The 9223-nt window shown below is 44.9% G+C and overlaps 1 long non-coding RNA gene across 1 annotated transcript in view; it reads right to left on the reverse strand.

Annotated features, from left to right (window-relative positions):
* Positions 1-8969, reverse strand: part of LOC101927506 (uncharacterized) — a 49390-nt gene extending 40421 nt beyond the window's left edge. The window contains exon 1 of the long non-coding RNA NR_168395.1: positions 8645-8969. This is a non-coding gene — a long non-coding RNA (uncharacterized LOC101927506). The remainder of the gene's footprint in view (positions 1-8644) is intronic.
* Positions 8970-9223: the final 254 nt, after the last annotated feature.

Here is a 9223-nt window from a genome sequence, read left to right on the forward strand (position 1 = left end):
GAGCTTACTATTATCATCCGTGTTTGCAAATGAGGCCCTGAGAAGTTGAGTGATTTCTGTAAGGTCTCAGAGCCAATAGACACTGGTAATGAAATAAAATGCAAGGCCCCTTATCTTTGGAGCCCAGTGTTCCTTCCACATAGGTGGTTCTCCACCCAGACTGCCCAGGAGAATGTGGAATCTCCAGCAGTTCTGACTTAACTGGCCTGGTGTGGATGTCTGTGATGGGTGAACATTCCCAGACCCTTTTAAGAACGTGATAGAAGTGGTGGACCCACTTCCCAGAAAAAGGGACGCACAACAAAATAATTGTCCTGAGTGGGTCTGATAGAATCAAGTGAACCCTTTAAATCTGGATCTAGAGGTCAGAGACTGAGAATGTCAGAGATGCAAAAGAGATTCAGTGCAAGAGAAATCCTCCTACTGGTTTTGAAGATAGATGTTGGCACCCTGTGTCAACAACTTGAGAGTGGCCTTGAGTTGCTGGGAGCACCCCAGACTGACAAACAGCAAGAAGAATATGGGGACCTCAGTCCTACAACCACAGGAACTGAATTCTACTGACAACCAGTGAGCTTGCAAAGAGGACTTGGAGCCCCAGATGAGAAGCAAACCTGGCTACCCCGATCTCAACCCTGTGAGATCCTAAACAGACAATCCAGCCATGCAACACCCAAACTTCTGACCTATAGAAACCCTGAGATAATAAATGGGCATTGCTCTAAATCACCAAGTTTGTGGTAATTTGTTACACAGCCATAGGAAGTGAATCGACCCGATGTATCTGAGCACCTGCTAGGTTATCATTAAGATTACTCTTCAAAGGTAAAAATTATTTTTCAAAATGTTTCTGCCCTACCTTCCGTGAGCATCTGGTGATGGATGGACACACACACATAAAGGTAGACTGTGTTTAGGTGGGCATGGTGGTGCATACCTGTGGTCCCAGCTACTCAGGAGGCTGAAAGAGGAGGATCACTAGGGCCCAGGAGTTCAAGGCTGCAGTGAAGCTGTGATTGAGCCATTGCACTCAAACTTGGGCAACAGAGCAAGACACCAGCTCTAAAAAAAAAAAAACTGCTGAATGCTATAAATAAGATTGGAACTTGCTCTGCTTTTACAAGACCACTGTTAGATGACCACTGACAAGAAGACTGTGAGCTGGTCTCTGTAGGAAGCAGGGGCCTGGGCAGCTCTGGGGGCACAGGAGACAGGCCTGGGGCAGAGACACCTCAGGGCATTTTCAGAAGACAGCCAAAGCAGCCATTCCAGCTTGTCCAGGTAGATGGCAAGTCAATGGGAAATGATTCCAGGAAGGTAGGGAAAGATGGAATTCTGGAGAGCATTGGACCTCAGATTGGGAGTCTGAACGTCTTTCCATATGCATCAGGAAGCCATGGAAAATTCACAGACTGGAGTGACTTTGGCAAAGGTGGGATTTAGGAAGACTGATCAAGGCACGGGATAGACCCATGGATGAATGGCCTTCTGGTCAGTTTGTCCCTGTGGTTTTCTATGCTGAGGAGGTGGGAATGTGCTGGGTGAGTCAGCTGTGGATTTGTGTCCCTGCCTCACCTCACTCCCCACTGTCGTGGATTTGTCGGCTCATCTTTAGTGCGCTCCCTGAAGAAACACTCAGTTCACTCAGCTTGTTTCTAACCCAAAACACTCTGCAGGGCCCATCCTCTTGTCTTTGCCTGGGGATGCCAGACCATGCACTGCGGATGCCTTCCACCTTAGCACTAGTGGGCTAAATGATGACTGCCTTGCTGTCCCAACACCACCCATCAAAGGGAAGACATCACCACTGGGGTCAGTACAGCCCAAGTGACAAACTCTATTCCCTCCTTTCTCTCCATCCCATGGACCCTTGATTTGCTAAGTGGGAAGACACTTTCTCGTGGTTCAACATCACCTAATCTGCACAATTGCTTCTGCAGGCTAATTCAGCCAGAAACCCTGGATATCTGGGCAGAAGCGCATGGAACTTTTAGAAGGATTACTACTGCTTTTAATATTCCCTCTGTCTTGAGTCAGACCACCACCAAGATCAGAGTTAATATTATATATCAAAGTCCTGCCATCAGCCTGTAGGATTTATTACTAGCATCTCTCCACTTCAGAGCTATGGGAACCAATGGAATTGGATCTAAGGTTTTGAGTTGGCTCTTGTGCATGGAAATTTGATGCAAACACTCTAACTTATTGGCCCTAAAGGGCTTTGGCAAGTCATTTTGGCAAGTCACCCACTGAACACAGAGTGAAATTTGCAGAGGTTTCCCCTCTGCTCGAACAGTGGTGTTCTCAGCACGTACAGGGAAGTTCTGCCCCCTTCCAGCCAGGTGAGCTAGGGGATTTTGCCTACCCTTTCTGAACCTCAGTTTTCTCATCCATAAGATGGGAATAAAAACATGGTCCTGGATGTATGTCTCATGCTAGGCACAGAGGCAGGGTACTCTCTCCCCTGAATGCCTTGCTATTGATGCATCACCAGTAAGGCATGCATTCATTGCACAGAAACTTAGGCATATGCCTACCAACATGCCCGATGTTGTGTGAGGCCTGACCGCTGTGAGGATGGACTTCCATCTGTGTGAATGGATTCATGAGACCAGCCCTCACTCTCAGGACTGAGGGCATTGGTGCTCTAACTTGTCTGAATATGGAATCAGCTGGAGAGATTCTGTAAATTACCAGTCCCATTCCACCCCTGAGATCCTGATTTCATCGGTCTTATTTCATTGCAGCCTGGTCGTTGGGATGTTTAAAACTCTCCCTAGGAATTCCAATGTGCAGCCAAGTTTGCAACTACACGGAGCCAGGTTAGTGGTGCGGTCAGCATGGTGATAATTGGGCTCATGAACCCATGACCTCAGCTTCATCAGGAGACCCACTGTAAGTACTGGCCCAACAGGAGGGAAAGGAGCTGAGTCAGATGATACCACTGAGGGGCATGAGCAAATGAAAAAACAGGAACCCAGCCATGAAGCTCGGCCTGAGTGTTGGAGATGCCACTATAGAGACCCTGGTCTTAGCAATCCAGACTTTTCCCCAGCAGAAGGGAGAGGCGAAGATTATCCTGGCCGGGACTGTGTAAGGCCTTTGAAGGTTGACCATCCATCTCACCCTGCTGTTTCCCTCCTTCCCTGCAGAACAGCCGTTCACCTGAATGTTCCAGGCTTTTGGTTAACAACCCCTGGTCTTTTGTACCCATTCACACTCAAAATCAGGGGGAATTCCTTGAAATGGTTAAAATGCAAAAGTGAAATTTAGAAGCCCTATGAATGAAACAACAATCCAACAAAAAATTCCCAACACTTTAAGCAAATGCTTTTCTGGCAGAGCCTTCAAATTGCTACTGTCCCACTATCTTCTGGAATCGTGTGTGTGTGTGTGTGTGTGTGTGTGTGTAGAGCAACAGGTGAAGCAGCAACCATAAGGTAGCCTACTTCAGGTCTGGCACCTCTTTTCACTGCTGTCATGCCCTCTTCACTGAGATCCTGACTTAAATATGTACACATGTGAATGCTGATTTCTTAGCATGAATTTTAACTCAGCTGCTGCTCGAGCATCAATGATTCCCAATTCCCATCAGAGTGAATGGCCCCTTCCTGGTCTCTGCAGTCAGCCCTCTGAAGCTGCTCAGCTGAACCCCTGGGAGCTGAGGGGCCAACTCTGACTCCCAAGAAGGTGACCTCTATCTCCCTTCCAGGGCCAGAGATGCAACATCACACACACACTGCCTTTGGAATGTGTGATTAAGCTTTTGGCTGCCAGTAGCCTGACAGCTTCCAGCAGCTTTGTCTGCCACCGTGTCCACTTCTCTGTGCCAAAGTCACTGAAACAAAGGGACTGCAGATGTTGCTGTGAAGTCTTTCCGATTCTCCAGGACAGAGGAAAGCACTACATTGGGTGGGGGGTGGAGTGGGGATGATGGACTGTGGGAAACCTGCATGATGGGCATGAAACAATAAAAATGAAGCTGATTTTCTTCATAGCACTTGCTGCCATAGAGATACATTTGTTTCTGTGACCCTCTCACTGGAATGTAAACTCCCTGAAAGCAAGGACTTGGCTTATTGCTGTATCCCAAGAGCCTGACACAGTGCCTGGCACATGGTAGACACTCAATAGATGTTTGAGATAGGGAGGGAGGGAGGCAGAAAGGGAGGGAGGCAGAAAGGGAGGGAAGGAAGGAGCAAGGAAGGAAGGAAGGAAGGAAGGGAGGGAGGGAGGGAGGGAGGGAGGGAGGGAGGGACATAGACAGTGGATTTGGATAGACTTGGCTTTAATCCTTTCTGTAGCAATTCTAGCTGTGTAAAAATACGCGAGTGAGTCATTTATTTTCTTTGAGTCTCTTTCTTCATCATAGTACCAATTAACAGGGCTGGGGTAAAGAGTGATACATGTAAGGTTGCTAGCACTATTGGCAATCAAAACATGAGAGCTACTTATTTACATTGTGAGTATTGCTACTACTGATATTATCATTTCTGGACATTACTAATGATGTGAGCACTGGCCTTTCATCAGAGATTACTGGATAAGGAACATTTACCGTCTTGTCTCTGCTCATTGTGCTAAAGTTCCTTCTTTATCCAACAACACTTTCTCCTGTTTTCCCAATTTAGTGAAAGGATTAATCTTTTCACTCTCATTCTTCCTGTTTTGTTTCCCATAATATGGGTCCCATCCTTCCTCATGAGATGGGTATCTCAGCAATTGAGCCCACCCCACCCACATATTTGACCCTGATCCAAGACCCTCATTTCTGGGAATGAACCCCAGATCAGCCATGATAGAGGATAGCCTGGTTTTATCTTTTTGCTTCTGAGCAGGATCCAACAATTCTCATAAAATTTTCCCCAGCCTGTTCAGTGGAATTGTCAAAGCATCATTTTCAAAAAGTGAAAACATGATTCTTATATAAGTCTATAGGGAGTGTGTATAAAGATCTGTTTACTTCACAAAAGAAAGAACCAGAGGATGGTAAAGCTGTTTGAAAAGAGAATTGGAAGGAGAAAGATTTGGATAGACCATCAGAAACAGCATGCTGACATAAGTTTGCTAATTTGGAAACCTCACTCATTAATGTCCTGTGGAGCAATAAAATCTTTTTACAGGACAAAAATCATTTGTATCTCTACCAGACAAAAATTAACATGTAACTTGGCAGAGTCTGGGCCCTAATCAATAGTAAATAGTAAGTCAAACAAAAGTACCTTCCCTTAGAGAGTTAAAAAAAGCTTTGGTGGTTTGTTAGGCAACCTTCCAGTATGGCATTAGAAAGACGTGCAGTCATCCTATTTTTACTTCCAAGTTTGGGATACTTTTTTTTTTGAGATGGAATTTTGCTCTTGTTGGCCAGGCTGGAATGCAGTGGCATGATCTCACCTCACTGCAACCTCCACCTCCCTGGTCCAAGCAATTCTCCTGCCTCAGCCTTCCCAGCAGCTGGGATTACAGGTACACACCACCACGCCTGGCTAATTTTTGTATTTTTTAATAGACACAGGATTTTACCACGTTGGCCAGGCTGGTCTCAAACTCCTGACCTCAAGTGATCCGCCCACCTTGGCCTCTCAAAGTGCTGTGATTACAGGCATGAGCCACCATGCCCGGCCAAGTTCAGGATACATTTTTAAAACAAAATTGGTCCCCCTCAGCCTGGTGGATGTCCCTGCAGAATTTAAAAATACTATTATGTTCTAGATGTCTGATGCTGTCAATTCTCAATGGCCAGAAGAGGGCATCTGCCCAGATCAGTTCAGGTGTCTATCCCTGGTCTGATCGCCTGTGCCCAGGGTAGCGTATCAGGTACACGGTGCTGTTTCTTCCCTGCTATTGGTAGAACAGCTTTTCCAAGAAGGGGATAGGCTGGAATGGAAGAAAAGAGTCCAAAGAGGAAGGAACCACAACAGAAAGAGAATTGCTTTCCTTTCAGTTGTGGGAGCACCAGCTTAATGCCTCTTTTCCACATTTGCCCAGCAGAGGAAATGTTTGGGCCGAATGACAGAAAACCTAGGGTAGCCTTTTTGGTGCCTCCTGACAATCACAGAAGCAGGCTGGGATCCTACCCAGGTATGGCAGAGCAAGTGAGCCCACCTAGGTGGGAATCCTTACCCTCCTAATCCTGCAGGTTCACTTCACAATCTTGTGTAGACCTTAAACCGTTGTTTAGACAGTTATATGAAATGGGGTATTTTCTAGAGAAAAGGACAGTGAATGGGGATATGGGGATTTTTTTTTTTTTTGAGACAGAGTCTCACTCTGTCGCCTAGGCTGGAGTACAGCCATGCTCCCAAGCCATGCTTCCTGTATGGCCTGTGGAACATAGAGTCAATTAAACATCTTTCTTTTTTTTTTTTTTTTTTTTTTTTGAGATGGAGTCTCGCTCTGTCACTCAGGCTGGAGTGCAGTGGTGTGATCTTGGCTCAATGCAACCTCCACCTCCAGGGTTCAAGCAATCCTCCTGCCTCAGCCTCCTGAGTAGCTAGGATTACAGGTGTGTGTGTGTGTGTGTGTGTGTGTGTGTGTGTGTGTTTAGTAGACACGGGGTTTCACCATGTTGGCCAGGCTGGTCTCTAACTCCCGACCTCGTGGTCTGCCCACCTCGGCCTCCCAAAGTGCTAGGATTATAGGCATGAGCCACCGCGCCCGGCCCACCTCTTTTCTTTATAAGTTACCCGGTTTCAGGTAGTTCTTCATAGCAATGCAGACTAATACAACTACTTTGAGTCTCACCTTTCCTTATTTAGAAAAATATTTCCATTGAAGTGTTATGGTGAAGATTCAATACAATTAAATGATATAACATATGTAAAGGGCTTAGCAATAACCCAATGGCTAATAAGCAGCCAAGGAGTGGTAGCTCTCAGTATAGTCAGCCTCTAAGAAGAGAGCAAATGTTTATTTTCAAGAAGAATTATGCAGAAAGGGCCACTTTCAGTCTACCATCCCCCCAGATTCCTTGAAGGCAAGATGATGTGAGCAGCAAGGGAAGAAAGGGGAGTGGGCACGAAATACTACAGAACCTGCAGGGAATGAAGTCCCTCTGTCTGTGTGTGCCTATATCAATAACTTAAACTTACACATTCATGAGATGCACTGTGTTTATTAGGATGTACATGTGTCCCTAAGAATCTGAGAGCTCCTGAGAGACAGAGACGGTGTCTTACTCATCTGCTCTCCCCAGGTCCTCGCTTACTACCTGGCACTTATTGGGTAATAAATGTCTGTTGAATGCATGGAAAAAGAAAGGTAGGAAAGGTGTGAAGGAGAAGATGGAGGTCATGACCAGTAGAAATCTCAGCTGTTCTGCCTGGGCTCCATGTCATCTCCCTGCTATTAGGCCCATCAGAATGTAAGCACAAATGCCTAGAGAATGACAAGCTTCTTTGGGACTCTGCTGACTAGACATGACATAAGACTGGACAGCTCCTGGGGAACTTCCAAGAGCTGGCTCCAGGCAGTGACTAATCCTAGGAGCTGCTGGCCTGGCTGCCTCTCTCCCTTCCTTATTTCCAAGATTGGTCACCTCCTGCTCTGAAATAGCAATTGATTTTCAGACATGAGTTGATAGAACCATGATTTTCTAATACTGTTCCAAAGAGGCTAAAGTACCTCTGAGGAGCAGTGCAGGCTAGGATCAAACTCTCCCTACCTTCCACTCCACTCCCTACCTTGCCCCTCCACCTCTGCCCACTTTCTATTTCTTCAGGCACAGCGGCTTCTACCTTATGGATTACAAATTCTGATCATCCATCTATGGTTGCATTAGGAAAAGAGTACTGCTACTTTCATTTTCTTTTCTAACCACTGCCCTAGAAGAATAACACCTCACATTCTCTGGTAGACTGAAGCCTGCAGCTGCAAGGATGCTCAGAAAACCAGACTTCTATTCATTGGCCACTTGCTGCACGCTTTGTCCCTCGATCCTTGCAACGTACCTTTGAGGTAGGCACAAAAATCCCCATTTACAAGTGAGAAAACCAAGGCAAAAGAGGTTCAGTTTATTTCAGGCTCAAATGTGCTTCCAATAGCTTATAGCCTCTACAGCTAGTGTTTGAACCCAGGTCTGAAACAAATAGGATTGACAAGGGGAGGGAAAAGAGGAACAGAAATTCTTTTCTATAAGACAATTGTTTATGCAGCCAGGATTTCTTAAAATCCAGTTTGTGCCTACGGACATAATCTTTGAATTTGCTTTGTTTCTCGATGAATAACTTGGAAGCTATTCAAATAACTTGGAAGCTTCCTTTAAAAGGAACATCAGGAGGTGATTTTTGACTAACCCTAGGTGTCCTTTCTGAGCCAAATAGATTTTCAAATAAGAAAATGAGAGGACATGAGCTTGAGGAAAATGATAGGCATTCCAACCTCATCCGCTTGCTGACGACCTCCACGTGATTTCAACAATGATTTCAAATATTTCACTTTTTAAGTCAGTGTGACTTAAGTATGAAATTGCCTCTCCCTAAAGCTCCCCTAAGGCCTAAACAGTCGTCATTACCATAGCTGTGACAGGGAGACTGTTGAATTTATAATCTATTGGCCATTCACAGCATAGCGTATAAACCTAGCTCATGATTTCTTTGCAATAGAAGTGTATTTTTTCATCACATTCCCTTCACAACTTACTCACCAGATCAGACTTTGAGCTCTCCTCCTGGCTTAGCCTGGATCGTTTGAAATGGTCATCCATCCTTTGGCCCCAATACCTAAACTAAGGTCTATGAACAATAAGATGATTTTCTTCAGTGGGACTTTTTTGTTTAATATAATATTAGATATTTCCCCTGATACAGGGCTCAATCTTTTTCTTTTTAAAGCAATATTTCTCAAAGTACTTTTCACAGAACTTAAGTTTCATTAAGCACTTCACTAAAAGAAAAGTCTGTGATCTAATAAATTTGGAAAATATTGAGAATTAGAGCCCCCTCTTAGATATGTACTGTAGCTACTCAGCTTGTTACAGATGAAGTAAACATTGTAATATTCACCCAGCTTTTGAGTGATGTCTATTAACGTCACCCAAATGAGTATTCCATGGAATGCACTTTGCAAAAACCTATTATTCAAGAAAATTCTGGAGCATGAAAGCTATTAACGATAAACCCATTCACAAAATCACACCAAATATCTAAAATCATGTTTAAAATCTCCTAGAAATGGGTTGAATTGCCCACTTCAGAGACAAAGTGATTCTTTTGTAATAACGAGT

Source organism: Homo sapiens, chromosome 8 (assembly GCF_000001405.40).
Source record: "Homo sapiens chromosome 8, GRCh38.p14 Primary Assembly".
Classification (NCBI taxonomy): domain Eukaryota; kingdom Metazoa; phylum Chordata; class Mammalia; order Primates; family Hominidae; genus Homo; species Homo sapiens.